At 38.9% G+C, this 26,162-nt stretch overlaps 1 long non-coding RNA gene across 1 annotated transcript in view; it reads left to right on the top strand.

Moving 5' to 3' along the window:
- LINC00616 (long intergenic non-protein coding RNA 616) overlaps nt 1-26,162 on the top strand; it is a 103,264-nt gene that overhangs the window by 52,437 nt on the left and 24,665 nt on the right. The gene's annotated exons all lie outside the window — the stretch shown is intronic.

Genomic DNA, 26,162 nt, shown 5'->3' with positions numbered 1-26,162 from the left:
ATGGAATTAGGTGTCTCTTTTTGGAGCATTTAGACTGTGCACTTTAGCTCAGACTTTACAAGAGTTCTGAACATAAGGGTCAGGAACTTGCACAGCATTGAATACTGAGGTACTTCGTATCACATTTTGCTGTTGTTATTTATGTGAATAAGAAATAGTGTGTTTATACAATAAGAATGAGGTAAATAAACATTTTTTTCTTTTTACATTATCTTCCAGGAAGCTACAATCCAAATATATGGTTTAACTTTTATATATGTGAATAATTCTTTGGCTTCATAATCTGTATTCACAAGATTGTACTCAAGGGATCACCGGGCTGTGTTTTCATCTGGAGGCTTGTCTGAGGAAAAAATCCGTTACTGTGCTCATTTAGGTTATTGGTAGAATTTATTTTCATGTAGCTGTATGATTAAGGGCCCTGGCTTTCTGTCAACTGTCAGTTGGAGGCTGCTGTCAACTCCTGGAAGCTGTCTGTAATTATCTGCTACATGGTCCTCTCCCTTGGTAACTCCAATATTGCTGTTTGCTTCCTCAAGGGCAGCAGATCAGTCTTTCATACCAATCTGCTAAAAAATAATTTTATATGACATAATGTGATCATGAAAGTGACATCTCACTAACTTTATAATAAAACCTAACTAAGGGATAGATATTATTCTATTATTATATTTGCTATATTCAAGTAGCTAGAAGCAAGTCACAGGTTCTTCCCACACTCAAGGGGAGGAGATTATGCAGAGTGTAGCACTAAATGATGGAGATCATGGGGATCATCTTAGAATTCTGACTACCATAATCAATATTTGGCAAAGTATGTCTCATTGAAGATTACTTTCATAGGTTTGTTAGTAAATCTGTCTTCATCAAGAAGCTATTTTTATTTATTTTTTGTTTTGTTTTGTTTTTTTTGAGACAGAGTTTCACTCTTGTTGCCCAGGCTGGAGTGCAATGGTGTGATCTTGGCTCACTGCAATTTCTGCCTCCTGGGTTCAAGCAGTTCTCCTGCCTCACCCTCAGGGATTACAGGCATCCACCACCATGCCAGGCTAATTTTTTTTTGTATTTTTAGCAGAGAGAGGGTTTCACCATGTTGGACAGGCTGGTCTTGAACTTCTGACCTCAGGTGATCTACCCAGATTGGACTCCCAAAGTGCTGGGACTATGAGCATGAGCCACCACGCCCAGCCAAGAATCTTTTTCAAGCAACAGAATGCAAGTGACAAGAGACCAATTCAAACCATCTTAAATGAACAAGTTATTTTACTTACTCATAGAACTGACCATTTCAATGGATCATTTTGGGCTCTAGGCAATAATACAATTGGGGTTGAGAAAGATTCTGCCTTAATACAGTAATTAAAAGAGAGCATACCAGGAATGGGAAATTATGAACATTGGACAGAAGTTGGAAAAAGATCTGACAGAGAATGTAGCCATAACACAGGATGTGCTAGGGCTGGGACCAAGGGCAATTCAGTCTCCATGACTCACATTAAATCTGAAAAAAACATGTCATATGCAAAATTAGAAAGGAGGAAAACATAGGCTTCCACCCTGCACTCTGTCATATTTGCTTATATGAACACAGCATTGCCTCTCAGATATTTCTGCATTGGTAAATATTGTTACTTTTTCTGCTATAATAATAGTACTGATCTCATCCTTGTCTAAAACGCACCTGCAAATTTTCCATTTATTTTTTCATGTTTCAGTTCAGCAACTCTATGAGGTATTCTCTAACCCCTACCTCTCGTTCAGGTGGAGTTGGGTCCCACACCTCATATTCCTATAATTTGGCAGGCACTGTTATCAAACTCAGCCATCCCCTACTTCAACCCCTTTCTTTCTTAATACCTCTATGCAGTCATGGCCACAAGACAGGGTTCTCACCAATGAGACACAAACCAAATTTTGATATGGGGAAAATGTTGGTTGTCTTGAAGCAGAAATCTTCCATTTTCTCATCCATTCTCCCACCATTGAACACAGACATAATGGCTAGGGCTGCTCGAGTAGCCTTGTGAGCATAATGGAAATTACAAGTTAATCATAAATATCTGGTCTCTGTTATCATTAATATGATGAATGAATCTAGCAACTGACTTCCACTATACTTACTATATGTAAAACAAAACAGAACAGAAACTAACCTTAACCATTATAGTCAAATTTTTATTATGTGAGGCCTAATAAGATTCTAAATGAAATGCAGTCTTATATATTTCTAGATGATAGCACTGACCGTGACAGGGGCAGTTATTTATTTAATTTTCTGCTTAACCAATGGCAGCATGAATGAACTCCTTCATTTTGCAAAGCTTGGCCGGGTGCAATGGCTCACACCTGTAATCCCAGCACTTTGGGAGGCCAAGGTGAGGAGTTCAAGACTAGCCTGACCAATATGGTGAAACCTTCTCTCTGATAAAATACAAAAATTAGCCAGGCATGGTGGTGGGTGCCAGTAGTCCCAGCTACTCGGGAGACTGAGACAGGAGAATTGCTGGCACCTGCGGGGCGGAGGGTGCAGTGAGCCGAGATCGCACCACTGCACTCCAGCCTGGGAGACAGAGCAAGACTCCATCTCAAAACAAACAAACAACAAAAAACAAAACATAAACAAAACTTGTCTTATTATTTGTATCTTATTCATCTTAGCATCCTTATTTTTAGAAGAGTACCTAGAACATAGAAAGCGTTTAGTAAATATTTGTTGAATTGACTAATACATAAATACAAGATTTTGTCTTTCCAAGTTTTAACAGCTTACTTAGAAAGAGTAATGTGTCTTTGCTAATCAGAATGAAAGATTTCTAGTGGTATGATTAGTCTATTTCCTCGGTTATTGCCTTTTCTTATTCAGCATGTTATCAACAGCTTAAAAATACAAAAAAGACAGATGAAAACCTATCGGTGCTGCAAAAACTGCTGCTGTAGCTAAATTACTTGATGATAAAAGCAGTATTTAAAATGAAATACTAAAAAATGTGGGAGTATTTCTCATTCTAAATGTGATAAAATCAATAGGAATAAATAAATCTAGCACTTAGATGTAAAAAATGAAACTCAAATCTATAATATGGGATCAGAAACTGAAATTAACAAATCCAAATCTGTTTGTTGAACACTGGACACTTACAGGTTAAAATCAGATGAGTAAGCATCCACAGAATGAAGAATATTTGAGTTAGGGAAGATGATTCTTGTAGATGTGGAAGGGATTAGGAGAAAGAGTATAACATGTGACCTATTTGAAGCTCTTTCTTATAGGAGATAGGTTAGATTTATTTGATGTGGTTTCAAAGGAACTGAGAGAATTTTGGAGCAAAGTGTGGAAGCTTCAGGTTGAGAAATTGGAGCTCAACCTGAGAAAGATGTTAGCAATATAAAGTTTTCAAGCTAGATTTGTCTGACTTGTGAGGCCCAAAGTTGTGAATTGTCACATAACTACCTGGAAAGGATAATGACAGACAGTTTCCTGCTTTGGTTAGGAGCTTGACTAACTTGCCTGTTAAGATGTTCTAATTTGATAGATTTAAGTTAAACTAATTTCATAGAGTCTTTTCTTTTGTTCTGCAGGATGGTATTTCTGGGTATTTTATGAAACAAAGTGACAAGGTAGTGGTAGTTATGGGATGAGTATGTGATAACTATACTATTTGTTTAGCTTTGTTTTTATAACAAAGTAGTTCCCTATGCTGTTTTTTCCTATCCCAGATGAAAGTGTGTCTGATATTGCCTATTGGTATGGGATGAGGGAGGCTCTATTATACTTTGCTGTTTCAAGTATCAGGTAGGCAGCTAATTATACAGAAACATAAGCTTGCTCACATCTGAGAATACTAAACCAGAGGTTGCAGTATGCACATTTGCATTAACATAGCATGCTTTAAATGCGGCTAATACTGTTCCTAGACTTCCTTGAATTTTAATGCTTTTAAAGGTATAATCACGGTGAACAAAAGGGTTTACCACAAACTTTCCATACCATGTTGTGTTTCATTTTCTACTTAATGGATTGGCTTTTGCAATCCCTGAAAGCTGTTTTGATTTCCAGGGATAAATTTGAACTATGCAAAATGGAGATGAGTTATTGACTTGATAACTCACATATTAATATTCCTGCCTAAAACTTTAAAGGGAGTCCCATATGAATGACACCTAAGCTTCCAGGGATTTACCATGGGATAATTTCTCTTTCCCAATTTTATCTCTTCTCTTTTTATCTAAATTTTCTTTTCTTTTTTTTTTCAGGGCTTTTCGGTCTTCTCTAGTCCCATCTCCCTCTTTCCAAAATAATTTTCCCCAGTTTTGCAAATTATTAAGTCACATATTTGCTCTTGTGTCTTGTATATTATAGAGTAGTAATTTTAGTATGTTTTCTTCACTACTGTATCTCCAAAGCCTAGAATATTTCCCAACACATAGATAAGAATTAATAAAAATTGGTCAAATGAATGAATAGATGAATGAATGAATTCATGCTCCAGAATAAGCCATGGATTAAAAATGCTTCCAGCTCTGACAGATTTTGGCGCCTATCTGGGGAGAGGAGTGATCTTATCTGGGGAGAGGGAAGGGACATCCAGGTGATCCAACTGGAGAAGACCACTTCTTCCCCACAGGGGCATTAAAAAATCTAATATTGTACACTGTGGGTTTGTTTTCTCTGTAAGATAATCCTGTTTCTCGGTTAATTTTATTCTCATTATCAAGAAATGTTGATTCTTTACTTGATGCAGATTATATTACAAATCCTCTTCAATACATTTGAAAACAAAGGGATCCACACCTGATTCTGTTGCTGATGTTTTCCTGAAGTGCTACTATAGAGGCTAAGCTTATCAAATGCATTTTAAAACTATATATATTCAGGCTTCCACCTTCTTTTTCATTTATCAGCTAAGCCCAGTCCCTTAAACATAGTGGTCAATAAACATAATCAAATCATTTAACAAAGTAGATCCCTATCCTAGCCACATAAAATACATTAGTCAACAATTTAGGTAAAGAGCGCTGCCTCCATGGAGCTTACATTTAAGCCAAAAAATTAAAAGAAAGAAAATCAGTAAGCCAGTCACAAAAAAATAAGAACAAATATACTATCTTAGAAGGTGATACATTCATTAACAAATATACAGCAGGATAAAGGGTTTTGGAGGGATGGGTTGAAATTCTGCTACTCCAGCTTTATTGAAGTATACTGGACAAATAAAAATGGTATATTTAAGAAGTACAATGTGATGTCCTGATATATGCATACATTGTAAAGTGATTAAGTAGGCAATGAATTAAAACATTTTAATTGATGCCACCATGCTCTGATCTCATACAATCTAGAATTACTTTAAAAATAGAAAGATATATTAGTAACAGGCACATATTATTTACTAAGTTTATTTTTATGTGAAATTTTATTTGTATAATTTTACTTGGCAGTCCTTTAGTTTGGATGTGAATGAATTGCTATAAACTGAAAGGTAATGATAGAGGGCTATATAACCAACTGAGAAAAATATAATCAGGGAAAAGGTTATTAGATGTCTTCTTCAATAATATTTAGTTGGAAAAGGATAGAAAAATCATGCCAACAAATCTGGAGGAGTTTAACAAATTGTCATTGTAAATACTGTTCAAGATAAACCAATAATAACAATGAATTAAAGATGGTAAAACTACAAAATAAAAGTCAATATGAAAAATAGTCATAACATATAGCATGCAAATTATAGTCTTAGAAAATAGCAATGAAGAAATGGAAGAGATATCAAGCTAGAAGTCGTAGATACAAAATTGGACTTTTAAGATTATACATTAAAAATAAGTTATATCTGGGAGCTTCCCAGATGTATCCTCGTTCACTCAACATAACCAGATAAAAATGAACTTTTCCACCACATTGTATTAGCATAGCCATAAATTGAGTACAACAGATAGTTAAAACAAGCAGAATAGTAGAGAAAATTATGGTAATCTTTGATCAAGAAGATGTGAATTTGGTCTCACATGTGACACAAAGTGACCCCCTGTATTTGCTGCTGCAAATGAAATGGCTGAACCAAATGTCCAATAGGATCACTTCTAACTGTAGAATTATATGATCCTGGCCTGTCTAAAGATTCTTCTGGATTATTGTAATTAATGGAAATGATTAGTTGGTCTTGGAGATCTAAACTTATTTTTTAGACTCATGTAATCTCTCTATCATAAACCTGAGATCACACAGCTGCTTATTAGCACAAATGTACCTTTTAATGGGTCATTTATGGAAATATAAATTTTTTCTTTCATTTCAGATACCAATCTATTCTGCCCTCTGTTGGAAATGTAATGGTAGAGGACTAAGTGGGAATAAAGATATTTGGTTAGATCTGATGCAAAAAGATATTGTGGAATTTGTCTTTTCTTTAAATGGAATGGGTAGCAGATAAATGAATACCCTTAGTCATAATGCCTTAAATAATAGGACTATGACAATAAATCAATGGGATACAAAAACTAAAGTCACTGACATAAGGACTTTGGTTTTGGATAATCATTATCTTTTCTTAAATTATTACATAATATTTGGACATATTTATGGGGTTCATGTGATATTTAGTTACAAGCATAGACTGTATAATAATCAAGTCAGAGTATTTAGGATAGTATCATTTATCATTTTCTACGCGTTGAGAACATTTCAAGTCCACTCTTTTAGCTATTTTGAAATATATAATACATTATTAACTATAATCACCCTACTCTGCTACCAAACACTAGAACTTACTCCTTCTATCTGTGTGTTTGTCACTCATTAACCATTTTCTCTTCATCCCCCTTCCCCCAACCCACACGCCCTTCCCAGCCTCTAGTAGCTATCATTCTACTCCCTAACTCCATGAGATCAAATACTTTAACTTTCATATACTAGTAAGAACATGCAATATTGGTCTTGCTGTGCCTGATTTATTTCACTTAACCTAATGACCTCCAGTTCCATCCATGTTGCTGCAAATTGCATGATTTTATTCTTGTTTTTATGGCCAAGTAGCATTCCAATGTGTGCATATATCACATTTTCTTTATCCATTTGTCTATTGATAGACACTTAGGTTTTTTCCATTTGTTTCCATATCTTTGCTATTGTGAATAGTGCTGCAATAAACATGGGAGTACAGGTATTGCTTTTATGTAATGATTTATTTACATTGGATAAGTACCCAATAGCAGTATTGTTGAATCATACGGTAGTTCTATTTTTAGTTTTTTGAGAAATCTCTATGCTGTTTTTAAGAGTGGCTGTACTAATTTACACTCCCTCCAGCGCTGTATAAGTGTTCCCCTTGCTCTGCATCCTTGCCAACATTTGTTGTTTTTTGCCTTTGTGGTTCTGATTTGCATTTTCCTGATGATCACTAATGTTGAGGATTTTTTATACACCTGTTGGCATTTTGTGGGCCTTCTCTTGAGAAATAGCTATTCATGTCCTTTGCCCACTTTTTAATGAGATTATTTGTTTCTTTACTGTTGAGTTGTTTGAGTTCCTTGTATATTGTGGATGTTAGTACCTTGTCTGATAAAGAATTTGCAAATATTTTCTCCCATTCAACATGTTGTCTCTACATTCTGTTGATTGTTTCCTTGGCTGTGGAGAAGCTTTGTAGATTAATCTAGTCCTATTTATTTTTGGTTTTGTTGACTGTGTTTTTGAGGTCTTAACCATAAAATCTTTGCTTAGACTAATGTCCTGAGGTATTTCTTCTATATTTTTTCCTTTCTTTTTTTTTTTGTGATGGAGTTTTGCTTTTGTTGCCCAGCTTGGAGTGCAATGGCACAATCTCAGCTCACCGCAACCTCTGTCTCCTGGATTCAAGCGATTCTCCTGCCTCAGCCACCCAAGTAGGTGAGATTACAGGCATGTGCCACCACGTCCAGCTAATTTTGTATTTTTAGTAGAGACGGGGTTTCACCATGTTGGTTAGGCTAGTCTCGAACCCCAGACCTCAAGTGATCCGCCTGCCTCAGCCTCCCAAAGTGCTGAGATTACAGGCATGAGCCAACACACCTGGCCTCTATGTTTTCTTCTAGTAGTTTTACAGTTTCAGATCTCACATTTAAATTTTAAATCCATCTTGTGTTGATTTCTATATATGGTAAGAGATAGGAATCCAGTTTTATTCTTCTGCATGTGGAGTTTATTTTTTATTTTTATTTTATTATTTTTTTTGAGACAGAGTCTGGCTCTGTCTCTAGGCTGGAGTGCAGTGGCACGATCTTGGCTTACTGCAACCTCCACCTCCCAGGTTCAAGAGATTCTCCTGCCTCAGCCTCCCCAGTAGCTGGGACTACAGGTGCACACCACCTCGCCCAGCCAATTTTTGTATTTTTAGTAGAGACGGGGTTTCACCATGTTGGCCAGGATGGTCTCAATCTCTTTACCTCATGATCTGCCTGCCTCAGCCTCCCAAAGTGTTGGGATTACATGCGTAAGCCACTGCACCTGGCTGTGGAGTTTTAATTTTCTCAGCACCCTTTGTTTAAAAGGATGTCCTTTCCCCAATGTATATTCTTGTTTCCCTTGTCGAAAATCAGTTGTCTAAATATGTGGGTGAACTTCTGGATTCTCTATTCTGTTCCATTGGTTTATGTGTTTGTTTTTATACCAATATCATGCTGTTTTTGTTACTATACTATATTTTGAAATCAGGTAGTGTGATTCCTCCAGCTTTGCTCTTTTTGCTCGGTATTCGATTAGCTATTTGTGCACTGTTTTCTTCCATACAAATGTTAGGGTTATTTCTTCTTTTTCTGTGTAAAATAATATTAATATCTTTATAAATATTGCATTGAATTCGTATAGTTGTTTGGGTAGTAGGGTAATTTTAATTATATTAATTCTTCTGATCCATGGACATGGAATGGCTTTCCATTTGTTTGTGTCCTCCTCAATTTCTTTCAGCAGCGTTTTGTAGTTTTCCTTGTAGAGGTTTTTTACTACTTTGGATCAATATTTATTTCTAGATTTTTAAATAGCTATTGTAAATAGGATTGTCTTCTTAATTACTTTCTAGTTTTTTTTAATAACTATTGTAAATGGGATTGTCTTCTTAATTTCTTTCCCTGCTAGCTCATTATTGGTGTATAGAAACACTACTCATTTTTGCATGTTGATTTTGTTTCCTGCAACTTCAATGAATTTGTTTATCAGTTCTAATAGTTCTTTTGGTAGAGTCTTCAGGTTTTTCTACATATAAGATCATACTGTCTGCAAAGAGGGACAAATTGACTTCCTCTTTTCTAATTTGGATGTCTTTTATTTCTTTCTCTTGCCTGATTTCTCTGGCTAGAATTTCCAATACTATGTTGAATATGAGTGGTGAAAGTGGGCCTCCCTGTCTTGTTCCAGTTCTTAGAGGAAAGGCTTTCAGCTTTTCCAAATTCAGTGTGATTTTAGCTGTGGGATAGTCGTATATGCCTTTATTATGTTGAGTATATTTGTTCTATGCCTACTTTTTTGAGAATTTTTTTCCATTAAAGGATGCTGAATTTCATAAAATACTTTTTCTGCACCTATTGATAATCATATGGTTTTTGTCCTTCATTCTGTTGATGTGATGTACAGCATTTACTTATTTGCATATGTTGAATCGTCTTTGCATTGCTGACATAAATCCGACTTGGTCATGGTACATTATCATTGGATTGCTGTTGTATTTGGTTGAGGATATTTGTATCTATCTTCATCAGGGATATTGGCCTCTAGTTTTCTTTTTTGTTGCATCCTTGTCTGTTGGTGTCAGAGTAATGCTGACCTCATAATATGAGTTAGAGAGAAATCCTTCCTCTTCAATTTTATGGAATAGTTTAGGAGGATTGATGAAAGTTCTTCTTTGAAAGTTTGTTAGAATTGGCAGTAAAGCCATCTAGTCTTGGACTTTTCTTTGTTAAGAGGTTTTTTATTACTGATTCAGTCTTATTACTTGTTATTGTCTGTTCATGTTTTCTATTTCTTTTTGATTCAATCTCTTGGTAGATTGTATATGTCCAGATATTTATCCATTTCCAGTTTGTTAGTGTACAGTTGTCAATAATAATCTCTGATAATCTTTTGTATTTCTGTGCTGTCAGTTGTTACGACTTTTTCCACTACTGATGTTGTTTAATTGAATCTTCTTCTTCCTTTTTTTTTTTTTTTGGTTAGACTATCTAGTAGTTCATTGATTTTGCATATCTTTTCAAAAAACCAAATTTTTATTTCATTGATATTTAAAATTTTTTAAAATATCTACATCCTTTAGTTCTGCTCTAATTTTTATTAATTTTTCTACTAGTTTTGGTTTGGGCTTATCCTGCTTTTGTAGTTCCCTGAGGTGCATTTGTAGATTGTTTATCTGAAAATGTTCTACTTTTTGTTGTAGGCACGTTTTGGTATAAACTTCCCTCTTAAAATTGCTTTTGTTATATCCCATAAGTTTTGATATGTTGTGTTTCAATTTTCATTTTTTTCAATAAACTTTTTAATTTCTTTCTTAATTTCTTCCTTGACCCAATGGTCATTTAGGAAGCACATTGTCTAATTTCCATTTATTTGTACAGTTTCCAACATTCCTCCTGTTACTGATTCTAGTTATTTTTCATTGTTGTATGAGAAAATACTTAACAGATTTATATTTTTAAAAATTTGAGACTTGTTTTGCATTCTAACTTATGATCTGTCCTGGAGAATGTTCCATGTGATTATGAGAAGAATGTGCATTCTGTAGCTGTTGGATGAAATGTTCTGTAAATGTCTGTTAGGTTCATTTGTTCTAATAAGTAACTTAAATTCAAAGTTTCTGTGGTAATTTTCCTTCTAGATGATCTACCTAATACTGGGAATGAGGTGCTAAAGTCCCCTATTATTACTGTACTAGAGTCTATCTTTTCCTTTAGATCTAATAATATTTGCCCCAAATTTCTGGTTGCTCCAATGTTGGGTGCGTATGTTTATAATTATTAAATGCTCTTGCTGCATTAATTTCTTTATCTTTTTTTTTTTTTTTTTTTTTTTTTTTTTGAGACGGAGTCTCGCTGTCACCCAGGCTGGAGTGCAGTGGCGCAATCTCGGCTCACTGCAGCCTCCGCCCCCTGGGGTTCACGCCATTCTCCTGCCTCAGCCTCCCGAGTAGCTGGGACTACAGGCGCCCGCCACCTCGCCCGGCTAATTTTTTGTATTTTTAGTAGAGACGGGGTTTCACCGTGTTAGCCAGGATGGTCTCGATCTCCTGACCTCGTGATCCGCCCGCCTCGGCCTCCCAAAGTGCTGGGATTACAGGCGTGAGCCACCGCGCCCGGCCATTTCTTTATCATTATATAATAAACTTCTTTGTCATATTTTACTTTTTCTGACTTAGTCTGTCTTATCTGATATATATACAGCTACTTGTACTTCCTTTAGATTTTCGTTTGCATGGAATATATTTTTCTATCCCTTTATTTTCAGTCTATATGTGTCTTTACAGATGAGATGCGTTCCTGTAGGCAGCATATAGTTGGGCCATGTTTATAATTACTATTATTAAGCCAGTTTATATCTTTTAACTAGAATGTTTAGTTCATTTACATTCTTGGTTATTATTGATATGTGAGGGCTTATTTTTGTCATTTTATTATTGGATTTCTGGTTCTTTTGTATATCTGCTGTTCCTTTCTTTTTATTGTTTATCATTGTAATTTGGTGGTGGTTTATAGTGGTAACATATGAGTCTATTCATCTATTCTCTTTCTTACTGTGTGTTTGCTCCACCAGTGAATTTTATATTTTCATGTATTTCCATGAAGGTACATATTGTCCTTTTGCATCCTCATATGGGGGCCTTAAACATTTCTTATAGGGCTACTTTAATGATGATGAATTCCCTCTGCTTTTGCTTATCTGAGAAAGACTTTATTTTTCTTTCATTTATGAAGAATACCTTTGCTGAGTCTAATATCCTTGGGTAGCATTTTTTTTTTCTTTCAGGAATTTGAATATGTCATTCCATTCTCTCCTGGCCTGTAAGAGTTCTGCTGAGAAATCTGCTAGTAGTCTGATGGGGTATTCATTACCTTATAAGTGACTAGACACTTTTCTTTTGCTTTGTTTAGAAATCGTTCTTTTTCTTTGACTTTTGACAAGTTAATCATAATGTGCTGGGGAGAAGACCTTTTTGAATTGTATCTATTTGAGAATCTCTGAGCTTCCTGTATCTGGATGTCTATATTTCTTGCTAAGCTTGGGATGTTTTCATGTATTACTTACTTAAGAAGGTTTTCTATCCCTGTTATATTTTATTTCCCTTCTGAGACACTGAAAATTCAAATATTTGGTCATTGTATAGTCTCATATGTCATGTAGGTTTTGTTCATTCTTTTAAATTCTTTTAAAATTATTTTTGTTTGGGTTTTTTCAAATGACTTTTTTTCAAGTTATGGAATTCTTCTTCTGCTTGAGAAAAATTATAATTTATTATTGAAATTTTGAATGTATTTTGTATTTTATTCAATGAATTCTTCAGTTCCAGAATTTCTGTTGGTTCTTTTTATGATATTTATCTGTTTGGTAAATTTATCATTCATATTCTAAATTGCTTTTGTTATTTCTTTGTGTTTTCTTTCAGTATTTTCTTGTATCTAACTGAGCTTTTTTTTTTTTTAATTATACTTTAAGTTCTAGGGTACATGTGCGTAACGTGCAAGTTTGTTACATATGTATACATGCACCATGTTGGTGTGCTGCACCCATTAATTTGTCATTTACATTAGGTATATCTCCTAATGCTATCCCCCACCCCTGACCCCATGACAGGCCCCAGTGTGTGATGTTCCCCTTCCTGTGTCCAAGTGTTCTCATTGTTCAATTCCCACCTACGAGTGAGAACATGCAGTGTTTGGTTTTTTGTCCTTCAGATAGTTTGCTGAGAACGATGGCTTCCAGCTTCATCCATGTCCCTACAAAGGACATGAACTCATCCTTTTTTATGGCTGCATAGTATTCCATGGTGTATATGTGCCACATTTTCTTAATCCAGTCTATCATTGATGGACATTTGGGTTGATTCCAAGTCTTTGCTATTGTGAATAGTGCCACAATAAACATACATGTGCATATGTCTTTATAGCAGCATGATTTATAATCCTTTGGGTGTATACCCAGTAATGGGATGGCTGGGTCAAATGGTATTTCTAGTTCTAGATCCTTGAGGAATCGCCACACTGTCTTCCACAATGGTTGAACTAGTTTACAGTCCCACCAACAGTGTAAAAGTGTTCCTATTTCTCCACATCCTCTCTGGAGTCTGTGTACAGTGGCACTATCTCGGCTCACTGCAACCTCTGCCTCCTGGATTCAAGTGATTCTTCTGCCTCAGCCTCCTGAGTAGCTGGGACTACAGGCGTGCACCACCATACCTGGCTAATTTTTTGTATTTTTAGTAGAGACGGAGTTTCACCATGTTGCCCAGGCTGACCTTGAACTCCTGACCTCGTGATCTGCCCACCTCTGCCTCCCAAAGTGCTGAGATTACAGGTGCGAGCCACTACGCCCAGCCCTAACTGAACTTTTAAAATAACAATATTTTGAATTCTTTTCCTAGGGTTTTATAAATTTCTCTTTGATTTGAATCTGCTGTGGTGAATTGTGTTCCCTTCGAGGTATCTTTCCCTGACTTTCCATGTTTCTCGTATCCTTATGTTGATATCTGTGCATCTTGTGTAACAGTCACTTCTTCGAATTTTTTGAATTTGCCTTCCTAGGGGAAGAATTTCCCTAAGATACATTCATGGTGTTGGTTGGATAGGGTACTATGGCTTTGATTCTGGGTGTGTGCAGTAGTGGAGTAGCCATATGAGTTCTTTGGCTATAAATAGCATCGGTAATTTCTGTGATTTCCTCAGTGGCCTAGGGTGCAGTTGTTAGTGGAGACTGTGGTGAAGTTTTTCTGCAGACAGGAATGTCAGGTGGGCCTGACAGTGGGGCCCCAGTGGTGGCAGTGGCAGACTGACCATGCCTGTCTTTGGGCGCCAGGGCAGCATAAGCCAGCACCACTGTTAGCAGGTCCATGTGGGTCAATTCTTGGGCCTCCATACAGTTTGCTTAGGTGCTGGCAGTGAGAGCAGTGGGCTGACAGGTGAGTGGGTCTTTGGGTCGGTCCCTGGGCAGCAGATGTGGCATGGACAATGACAGTAGCAGTGGTGGAACAACATTTTTACTCCCATATGATCCATGCTAACGTTGGTGGTGGCTGCAATAGGCTGGGCAGGCCAGTCCTCAGGCCCACAGGTAGTATGTGCAGGTGAGTGCCAGCTCTGGTGAGAGTGGCAGGTTGAGTGGGCTTGCCGTCAGATTCCCGGGAGGAATGCTCAGTTGCTAGTGGTGGTGGATGGGGCTGAGCCATCCCCACCCAGGCTCTCAGATGGTGTGGCTGGGCACTGGATGTTGGGAGGAGCCATGCTGTGTGTGCCTGTCCTCAGGCATCCCTAGTGGTGTGTCTGGGTACTGGCTGTGGTAGGCAAAGGTTCCCAGGCCTTTGGTAGAATGCTTGTGTGGGGGTAGCACCAGCCGTGCTGTGGACTTTCTTCTGGTGAAGGCAAGGTTGCTTTCAGTCATATCAGCCATAAACAGTTAACTGGGGAGCATCTGCTTTGGTTCCAGTTGGTGGCTGTTGGCAGGGTAGCTTGTCCACAAGGGACTTGCAAATATGAAGTGACTTCATTCCTGAAGATGGTGGGATTGCTGCCAATGGCTCACACTTTGGACCTGGCAGTAGCAGCCAGCTGTGGAACCTGGTTGCAAGTGGAGGATGTCAATAGGGCTCCAGGGATAAGAAGATAAAGGGGTGTTGAGCCTTAAGACAAGATGCAGTCTGTTGGTGGTTGGACTCTCAAAATGATGCCTTTCTGTAGCTTCTTAGGACTTGAGGAGTGTGTAGGACTCAGTGTGAGTTCTTTTCTGGAGCGATGCTTTTGCAAGATCTCCAGGTAGCTCCCTATATTAGTTTCAGGGCCTGTGTGGATGAAGGGGCTCTCCCATGGCTAGGATTACAACAGTCTGCAGTGGGAATGTGGACCACTAGGAGTCACTCACTTACCCTTACCTCACATTAGGCAGCCTCCCTGAGATTCTAGCCAGTTGCAGCTGAGCAGGCTGACTCACTTCTCTCTCCTTCTTTGTGTTACGTGTTTCCTGTCACTTCTCTGTTGAATTCCTGTGTTTTCTCTTAGGTAATCTATTTGAAATGTGACTATCTATTCACTTTTTTGCTTCCTTTTCATAGAGGAGGCAAGTATCAGATGCCTCTAGTCAGCCATCTTGAAGCCCCTCCTTCCATCATTAAATTATCTTACCTTTAAAACTGAAATGTAAGAGATTCACTTCCAAGATGATAGTGTGACGACCTCTCAGGATGCACTCCCCAGTGAAACATGAAAAGCTGATGAAAACTATTGAAAAGAGGAAAAGAAAACAATCAACCACCTAAAATCTCTGGGAATAGTTCTACAAGTATATAGCAAAGGAGGAAACATTTATTCAAAAAAATATACTACAATATAATAAGATATGAATATGTGGCATTTGAATCACAATCGTTTCGTCTCTCTTGCCCACTCCAGCTCAGTTTGACAGAATTTTCATTTAGGATGCATGAGGCCAATAGATAAAGCTGCTTCTTCCCTCAGCTCTCAATAAAATCTCATCTTATTGCACCATGAGAGAAAGCTTCCTGTACTTCTCATTTCCTCCAACTACATGATGAAGTGAAATTCCTGGTGAATATGGCTGGGAGTTAGGGACTACCTGCTTTCATCCCACTCCTATTTGTAGAATGGCAACTGTATCCCACACAGGGAAAGCTGGGAATAGTTGAACCAAGATTGCTCTAATCTCACCTTGCTCATAGGAAAGAGGTTCCATAATAAGAGGCAAACCGAGAAGAGTAGAGGCTACTGTGGTATGCTGTGCCCAGAAGAGTGGCTCAGAAAGTTTTTCCGCAGGGAGAGGCAGTGACAAAAAAAAAAAAAAAAAAAAAAAAGAGAGCTCTGGTGCTCTCCCCAAATAACTGATTTTATTTGAAACAGAATATGGGGAAGTTTAAGGATGAGGGCATCCCGATAAATAGTAGCTCCTCTTAATTGAAGCAACACTATAAACCATAGGCCAGCTAGTTCAACAAAGAAAACCAGGAAAAGGGACACCTAAGAAGAGCTCTGCTAGGGTTTTTGAAAAAACTCAAAGACAGGCTCCAAAATAATCCTGCATAAGACACCAAATTTAATAAGATCAGACTGCTCAGAAATTTGTGTTTCAGGACATTGTCAAAACTAGTAGAGCTGGTAATTAGGGAAGCATTATGGGTAGGATCTAATACCAAATGAAGCAGCCACCTTACCAGAGATACCATGGAAAGGGTCAAAGAGAGCCCTGCTAAATAACTGCTATAACTGTGTTCCCAGGGTGACACAGGAGAAAAGCCGAGAAGAGAGTCATCAGCCTCAGAAGAAACTAAACTTGCCAACACTTTGGTTTTGGACTTCTAGCTTCCAAAGTTTAAGAAAATAAGTTTCTGTTGTTTCAGCTATCTAGTTTGTGACATTTTATTATGGGAGACCTTACAAACTAATATAAGTAGTCACAAAATGCTTTTTATACTCATGAAGAAATAAAAAAATGCATTTATTTATTATTATTATTATTTGGGACAAAGCCTTGCCCTGTTGCCGATGCTGGAGTGCAGTGGCGCAATCTCGGCTCACTGCAACCTCCACCTCCTGGGTTCAGGCGATTCTCCTGCCTCAGCCTCCTGAGTAGCTAAGACTACAGGCGTGCATCACCATGCCCAGCTAATTTTTTTTTCTTTTATTTTACTTTAAGTTCTGGGGTACATATGCAGAATGTGCCGGTTTGTTACACAGGTATACATGTGCCACGGTGGTTTGCTACCCAGCTCATTTTTTGTATTTTTAGTAGAGATGGGGTTTCACCATGTTGGCCAGGCTGGTCTCGAACTCCTGACCTCAAGTGATCCGCCCACCTTGGCCTCCCAAAGTGCTGGGATTACAAGTGTGAGCCACTGTGCCCTGCCAAAAAATTACATTTAAAAAGAAACAACCAATGTATTAATAGACAGATATGAGCTACAAAGAGAAATACTGGGAATGAAGAAGTAGTCATTGAAATTAAAAAATCTACTAGATGAGAGTTCTAGACTGGACAGAGTCATAGAGATAATTAGTGATGTTTGATACTTGTTTTGAATAATTCACTCAGAATATATCACAGCAATGGAACAGAATAGAGAGCCTAGAAATAATGCTGCACACCTACAACCATCTGATCTTTCACAAAGCTGACAAAAACAAGCAATGGGGAAAGGACTTCCTATTCAGTAGATGGTGCTGGCATAACTGGCTAGCCATATGCAGAAGATTGAAACTGGACCACTTCCTCACACCATATACAAAAATCAACTCATGATGGATTAAAGACTTAAATGTAAAACTCAAAAGCATAAAAACCCTTGAAGGTCACCTAAAAAATATCACTCTGGTCATTCTGGACAGAGGACCTAGCAAGGATTTCATGATAAAGATGCCAAAAGTACTTGCAACAAAAATAAAAATAAAAAAAAGGGACCTAATTAAACTAAAGAGCTTCTGCATAGCAAAAGAAACTATCAATAGAATAAAAATACAATCCACAGAATGAGAAAAAAAATTTGCAAACTATGCATCTGACTAAGGTCTAACTATCCAAAATCTATAAGGAACTTAAACAGATTTACAAGCGAAAAACAACCAACCACATTAAAAAATGGACAAAAACACAAACAGACATTTTTCAAAAGAAGACATACACACAGCTAATAAGTATGTGAAAAAATGCTCAACATCACTAATCATTATAGAAATGCAAATCAAGGGCGGGTGCGGTGGCTCATGCCTGTAATCCCAGTACTTTGGGAGGCCGAGGCGGGTGGATCACGAGGTCAGGAGATCGAGACCATCCTGATTAACACGGTAAAACCCCGTCTCTACTAAAAATACAAAAAATTAGCTGGGCATGGTGAGCGCCTGTAGTCCCAGCTACTCGGGAGGCTGAGGCAGGAGAATGGCGTGAACCTGGGAGGCGGAGGTTGCAGTGAGCCGAGATCGCACCACTGCACTCCAGCCTGGGCAACAGAGACTCTGTCTCAAAAAAAAAAAAAAAAGAACTTAAAACAGAATTACCGTTTAACCCAGAAATTCTATTACTGGGTATATACCCAAAGGAATATAAATTCTTCTACGATAAATTCACATGCATGGGCTGGGGGCAGTGGCTCAGGCTTGTAATCTCAGCACTTTAGGGGGCCAACGTGGGCGGATTGCCTGAGCTTAGGAGTTCGAGACCAGCCTGGGCAATATGGTGAAACCCTGTCACTACTAAAATACAAAAAAAAAAAAAAATTAACTGGGCATGGCGGCGTGCGCCTGTAGTCCCAGCTACTCTCGGGAGGCTGAGGCAGGATAAGTGCTTGAATGTGGGAGGCAGAGGTTGCAGTGATCAGGCCACTGCACTCCAGCCTGGGTGACAGAGCGAGACTTCGTCTCAAAAAAACAACAACAAAAAATTCACGTTCATGCACATGCTCATCATAACACTATCCACAATAACAAAGACATGGACTCAACCTAAATTCCCATCAACAGTAGACTGGACAAGAAAATGTTGTACATATACCCATAGGATACTATGCAAAAAGAATGAGATCATTTCCTTTGCAGCAACATGGATGGAGCTGGAGGCCATTATTCAAAGCAAACGAACACAAGAGCACAAAACCAAATACCACATGTTCTCACTTATAAGTGGGCACTCAACATTGAGTACATATGGACACAAAGAAGGGAAAAACAGACACTGGGGCCTACTTGAGGGTTGAGGGTGGGACAAGGGTGAAGATCAAAAACTGCTTATCCAGTACAATGCTTATTAGCTGGGTGATGAAATAATCTGTACACCAAACCCCTGTGACATCCCGTTTACCCATATAACAAACTGTACATGTACCCCTAAACCTAAAATAAAAGTTAAAAAAAGGGAAAAGATAACCTACAAAATAGAAGAAAGTGTTTGCAAACCATATATCTGATGTGTCTAAATTCCAGAATACAGAAATCATATATCTGATATGTGTTTAAATTCCAGAATCCTACAACTCTACAACAAAAAGGCAAACAATCCAATTAAAAACAGGCAGGGTTGAATAGACATTTCTCCAAAGAAGATAAATAAATGTCCAATAATCCCATGAAAGATGCCCAACATCATTAGTTACTAGAAAAATGCAAATCAAAACCAAAATGTGAACTATTTTATACCTCCATGAATACCAGTGTTCATTGCAGCACTTCACAATAGCCCAAAGGCACAAGCAACCCAAATGTCCATCCACAGATGAATGGATAAATCAAATGTGGCATGTATGTGGAATAAAATGTAATTAGCCATAAAGAGCAATGAAGTTCTACAGGCTACAACATAGATAAACTTTGATAACATTTTTCTAAGCAAAATAAGCCAGACACAAAAGGACAAATATTCTATGATTCCATGTATGAAATATCTAAAATGGTCAAATTCATAGAGAAAATAGATAAGAAGTGACCAGGGGCTGGGGATAGGTATAATGGGGAGTTATTTCTTAATGGGTAAAGTTTCTCCTTGGAGTGATAAATAAGTTTTGAAAATAGATAGAAGTAATGATTGCACAGCATTGTGAATACAATAACATCACTGAATTGTGTATCTAAAAATTGCTAAAATGGCAAATTTTATTTCACGTATATTTTACCATGGTAAAAAGATAGTTTAAAAATGTGGAACTGAAGTTCAAGACAGCAGTAATGAGGAAGGAGGAGGAGAGAGTACACTGAAGAGTGAGAATGTTTTGCTCCTTATTCAGGGAGGATAGGGATATTAAACAAATTTTGGCATTGCCGGAAAATATTTATATAAGAATGTCTGTTCAAATTTTACAGTTAATTACTAAAAGAACAGAAATATATTTTCTAGTTTCAAAATGAGCAGAAGAGAAAGAAGAACAGAAAACAGCATTTAAAAAAATCTCTGGCTGTAATCCCGGCACTTTGGGAAGCTGAGGCAGGCGGATCACGAGGTCGATAGACTGAGATCATCCTGGCCAACACAGCAAAATCCCATCTCTACTAAAAATACAAAAATTAGCTGGGTGTGGTGGTGTGCACCTGTAGTCCCAGCTACTCAGGAGGCTGAGGCAGGAGAGTTGCTTGAACCTGGCAGGTGGAGGTTGCAGTGAGCTGAGATCGCACCACTGCACTGCAGCCTGGTGACAGAGCGAGACTCCATGTCAAAAAAAAAAAAAAGAAAAAAGAAAAAAAAAAAGAATAAAATCTCTGGAGATTACCAAAGGCTGATGACAGGAAAAGGAGACTACAAGTTAGCTGACTTAGGAAGTGAGACAGGGTCTTGTGAGGGCCACTTCTGATCTTCTGTACCTTACTGTGTGTAACAGAGGGCTGGACATCTGAAAACCGTTTTGCCTAGAAATGTCTTTGCCAGCTAGCTTCTGTTAGACTCTCACAGTGAGAGGCATTGGCAAGTCATTGGAAGGAAGAAGGAAAAAGCTAAAATCCCTTTGCATTCATCCGTTTTTTATGCTGCTGATAAAGACATACCCAAGACTGGGTAATTTATAAAGAAAAAGAGGTTAAATGGACTCACAGTTCCACGTGGCTGGAGAGACCTCACAATCATGGCGGAAGAGCAAGGGACATCTTACATGGTGGTAGGCAGGAAAGAATGAGAGCCAAGTGAAAGGGGAAACCCCTTATAAAATCATCAGATCTCGTGAGACTTATTCACTACCAGGAGAACAGAACGGGGGAAACTGCCCTCATGATTCAATTATCTCCAACCGGGTCCCTCCCACAACACGTGGAAATTATGGGAACTACAATTCAATATGAGATTTGGGTGGGGACACAGCCAAACCATATCACTCACACCCTTTTAAAATTTTTGGTGGTGGGGGGTGGGGGTGCTAATACTGTGACTCCTTTAGCAGCAGTCACAAAAAGTGATGTGGAGCACTTGGTTCCTGCAGCATGTTTCCAGCAGCAGCACAGGTTTTGTGGGTCATAGCAAAGCAGCAGTAGCAGCAGTCCTGGCAGCACAGTGTCCTGCCTCTATCTGTCCCAGCTGTCCCAGCTATCCATGTTCTGTGACATCTGCAGGTAGCTTTGGGCCCCAAGTTTCCCACACTATCAGGAACATGGGAGTTCCTGCAAGTTCCTGCAAGAGTTTTCTGCAAGGCAGCTTCAGCAGTGGTTCCAAATAGGAGTAGCAGCAGTGGGACTCCAGCAGCTCCAGGTGGGCAGGGACCGTGGCTATAGGTGACACTATACCCCTTCTGCTCCTCTAGCCTAGGATGGTGGTTGCTTCCTGCAGATACCAATCAAGGAAGTTTACTTTTCTCTTTTGGCTATTCTAGGCTTTCTGACCCTTTTGTAACTATACCGTGTATTAAATTTCCTCCAATTGAAACACCAGTTGAAGTTTCTGTTACCTTAACTAAACAATGATACATGATGGAAGGGCAGTACTTCAGAAACCAAACTAGTTTTGCTTTTATCTTTGTTTCCACACTGACTCATATGTAATATAATTTAGTATTATTTATTTTTGATATCATATATGTAGAATACTTTCATTGATTTCATACATGATATAAAATGCAAAAAAGTTGCATGATAAAATATATCTTAAATCAAAATAAGAATATAAATCAAGAAAGAAATATAAATTTGTATTTCATAGTTTGATATATTAAAGTACACTAGGTCTTCTTCGGAATTAATGGATAGTGTATAAGTAATAACATGACTTAAATCAAGATAAGAATCACGTGATAAGCCAGTACACTTTCTTTCTCCTGACAACGCTTTTTTCGGCACATATAGAGAAAAAATTGTAATTATACTTTAGAAAATCTCTTCTAATATTGTTTACTGGATTCCAAGTTACACATTGTAATATTTTCATGACTTGTCACAATGAACCCATTAATAGGTATGACATTTCCTGATTATGTTTGAAGTATGATAACATATTTCTCCAATGAGTTGCAAGGAATCAAGATGTGATTCATTAAGCATGCTTATGAGTTGTTCACATAATTACAAAGAGAAACCATCCACATGAAAATAAAAACACAATTTTAGGCATAGGAGAAAAGCTTAACTTCTATGACTATTAGCTCCAGTGAAAGATGGAATACACCGAGAGAGAAATATACTGGGTGGACACAGCATTATGGAAGAGAATGTGCCTCCCTAGTTTTGTGCATTTCTGTGCACTCTCGTAGCTAAGTTCCCCACACCCAGAAATAATAGATGATGGTATCAGAAAGGTCTTTAATCCAGAATTTTCCAAGTATGACTAAAAGATTTGTTGTGAAAGATTGAGATTGTGATCAGAATTGGAACTGTATATATTACTACACATTAAATTAGGCACTAATAAATATATATACACATACATAATTAGATATTTTCAAATGGAATTTCTGTTTTTCGCTTCTTTATATGTGACTCCTCCCCTTCTGGATCAGCGCAGATTGCCCTAAGTGGTGTAGCATAGCAGAGTGTAGGCTCTGGATGCAAGCTGCCTGGCTTCATTGCCTGGTTTCATCACTAACTGTGTGGTCCTGCATGAGCTAATTAATCTCTCTGTACCTCAGTATCCTCATTTGTTCAATGTTGTGAGTATAAAATGAATAATACATACAACTACTTAGCAAGATGTCTACATCAGTTGCAGATTATTTCCAAGCAGCACATTACCATATTAGGATTGTTATAGCTGAAATGCAAAGAGAACAAAAGAGTCAAAGTCAACCCCTCACCCTTTAAAATAGGCTCTTGAAGTCCATTTCTGAGATTATATTACTAAAATATGGGCTTTCAGTAGCAAACGACAAACACTTGAAAACAGTTTTCTAAATTCCAGATTTTTCCCTTTAAACATCAAGAACAAAAGTATAGAGAATTGAACATGACATTTTTACTATAAACTATAAAATAGGAAGGATAGCTTCGGGACAATTTCCTGCCAAACAGGGATTAGATAAAAGCTTTCCTCAGCTAGAGGAAAGCATTGGAACAAGAAAGAAAGAAACACTTTGAGGCTTCAGTGAGAAGCTCACTCCCACATCTTTGGTAATTTCAGGGAGAAGAGGCATGTTCTCTGTTCCCTTCCGGGAGGCAAAGCTTCATTATGCTCTCCAAATGGGATGCCCAAAATGTTTTATCCAAAGGTTTTGGATTTTTCAGGCAGAAAGAGGGCTTGAGATAGTGTCTTCCACTACATCTCAGAGTTATGAAAGACCTGGTGTAAAGAAAATCAAGAAATTGCTTCATGCCTTAATGGAACATGTGGATTTGCAAAGAAGGTTGGTAAATCATAGGAGACCTAGGTTGAGATGAGCAAATACAATGTGTAGATATCAAGGCTATGCTACGGGTTTTGGGTGCCAGCAAGGATGCTTGTAGGTGTGCAAAGGCAAGATGGGACCACTTTACGTTAGATGTAGATACAGAAAGAACCAAGGTGGCCACAAAAAGACTCATGGGAAGAGTAATAACAGTCCATTGGAACCTGAGAAGAGCCCTTGTAAAATACATTCCCGCGCGACCTCTGTTGTGATACTCTGCTAGCAATTTTTTACTCTCAAAAGCTTTCTCATGGAGGAGTAAGGCAAGAGGCAAGCATATAAGAAATATGTGTATGTATTGTTGCTACAGAGTTTGAAAAAGGACTTGTCGGAGTTTTGTATCTCTATTAACAAAATAATTACCTTGAGATCTTTTCCAATCAGATGTGGCTGAGTTACCTGGAGAAGCCTGCATTACATTTTTAAAAGAAGGCTCAGAGAATAAGTTGAATGCAGTAGGGAGAAATACGGAAAATTGCATATTTGCACATCTGACTCATAATGGATAATTTCAAACCTTCTATAAATAAAAGTTTTACAAACACTGCACAACACATACTTCTAAGCCCTCTACACTAAGACTTGTATATGTGAAGGACAGAAAAGGAAAGGGGTCCTCTTCTGGGGTGCTTCTCCTCTTTCATATGCATTGTCTCTGCTCTGTAGTTTCTTTTCTTGTTTCCACATTTTTTTTCCATAAGCTGTGTAAGGATGAAACATGACTTCACTTCAAAAACATTCTAAATTCCTAGTTATCACATTTGCAACTCAGTGCTGCCTTCCTGCCTGCATGTTTCTATTTGTGCTGTTGATCTCAATTATGTTCTCTTATCCTTGCTTTTTAGATATCCTGATGATTTCTGTGATTCTCATAGGTTCTGCAGCTCTCTTTATCACGTAGGCATCCTTAATTTAACACTTTTCGCCTCTGCTTCTGTATTTGTCCTGCTGCGCAATCAGCATTCTGGATGATGCATCAGTAGGAGGGTCATTGTAAATCACCTCTGGCAGGATGAGTCACTTTGTGCTTAGAGTTGAGCTGAAGAGTGATTTCTTATTCCAGAGCAAGGCAGCATTTCGTTTTTAACCATAAATGTTCCCTTGCCAGCAACAGCTAGAACATGTTACTTTTAAAACATTTCCCATCTATAATAATATTGTATAGGCAGCAAGAATTCTGTATGTCCCCAACTAAGGACATATTAAAGAAATAATTATTTTTTTCAATGATGATAGTTTCATGAAGATTGAAATGCCATTTTCTTGTGTACTATTGAGAGGTGACAGCATGCTGGCAGCCCTCACAGCCGTTGCTGGCTCTGGGAGCCTCCTCAGCCTTGGCGCCCACTCTGGCTGCACTTGAGGAGACCTTCAGTCCGCGGCTGCACTGTGGGAGCCCCTTTCTGGGCTGGCCAAGGCGGGAGCCGGCTCCCTCAGCTTGCGGGGAGGTGTGGAGGAAGAAGCGTGGGCGGGAACTGGGGCTGCGCTCGGCGCTTGCGGGCCAGCACGAGTTCAGGGGTGGGCGTGGGCTGGACAGGCCCCGCACTGGGAGGGGCGAGCCGACCCCGCTGGCCCGGGGCAGTGAGGGGCTTAGCACCTGGGCCAGCAGCTGCTGTGCTCGACTTCTCGCCGGGCCTTAGCTGCCTCCCTGAGGGGCACGGCTCGGGACCTGCAGCCTGCCATGCCTGAGCCTCCCCCTCGCTGTGGGCTCCTGCCAGCCCGAGCCTCCCCTAGGAGCGCCGCCCCCTGCTCCAGGGCACCCAGTGCCATCGACCACCCAAGGGCTGAGGAGTGCAGGCACATGGCAAGGGACTGGCAGGCAGCTCCACCTGCAGCCCCCTGCGGGATCCACTGGGTGAAGCCAGCTGGGCTTCTGAGTCTGGTGGGGACTTGGAGAACCTTTATGTCTAGCTAAGGGATTGTAAATACACCAATCGGCACTCTGTATCTAGCTCAAGGTTTGTAAACACACCAATTGGCACCCTGTGTCTAGCTCAGGGTTTGTGAATGCACCAATCGACACTCTCTATCTAGCTACTCTGGTGGGGACTTGGAGAACCTTTATGTCCCACACACTGTATCTAGCTAATCTAGTGGGGACTTGGAGAACTTTTGTGTCTAGTTCAGGGATTGTAAATGCACCAATCAGCACCCTGTCAAAATGGACCAATCAGTTCTCTGTAAAATGGACCAATCAGCTTTCTGTAAAATGGACCAATCAGCAGGATGTGGGTGGGGCCAGATAAGAGAATAAAAGCAGGCTGCCGGAGCCAGCAGTGACAACCTGCTTGGATCGCCTTCGACGCCGTGTGAGCTTTCTTCTTTAGCTGTTTGCAATAAATCCTGCTGCTGCTCAGGCTTTGGGTCCACACTGCTTTTATGAGCTGTGACACTGGTCACGAAAGTCTGCAGTTTCATTCCTGAAGCCAGTGAGACCACACACCCACTAGGAGGAATGAACAGCTCCAGATGTGCTGCCTTAGGAGCTGTAACACTCACCACGAAGGTCTACAGTGTCACTCGTAAGTCCGCGAGACCAGGAACCCACCAGAAGGAAGAAACTATGAACACATGTGAACATCAGAAGGAACAAACTCCGGACACGCTGCGTTTAAGGACTGTAACACTCACTGCGAGGGTCCATGGGTTCAT

This window comes from Homo sapiens, chromosome 4 (assembly GCF_000001405.40).
Source record: "Homo sapiens chromosome 4, GRCh38.p14 Primary Assembly".
Lineage (NCBI taxonomy): Eukaryota > Metazoa > Chordata > Mammalia > Primates > Hominidae > Homo > Homo sapiens.
This window is presented reverse-complemented; position numbering and strand designations above follow the sequence as displayed.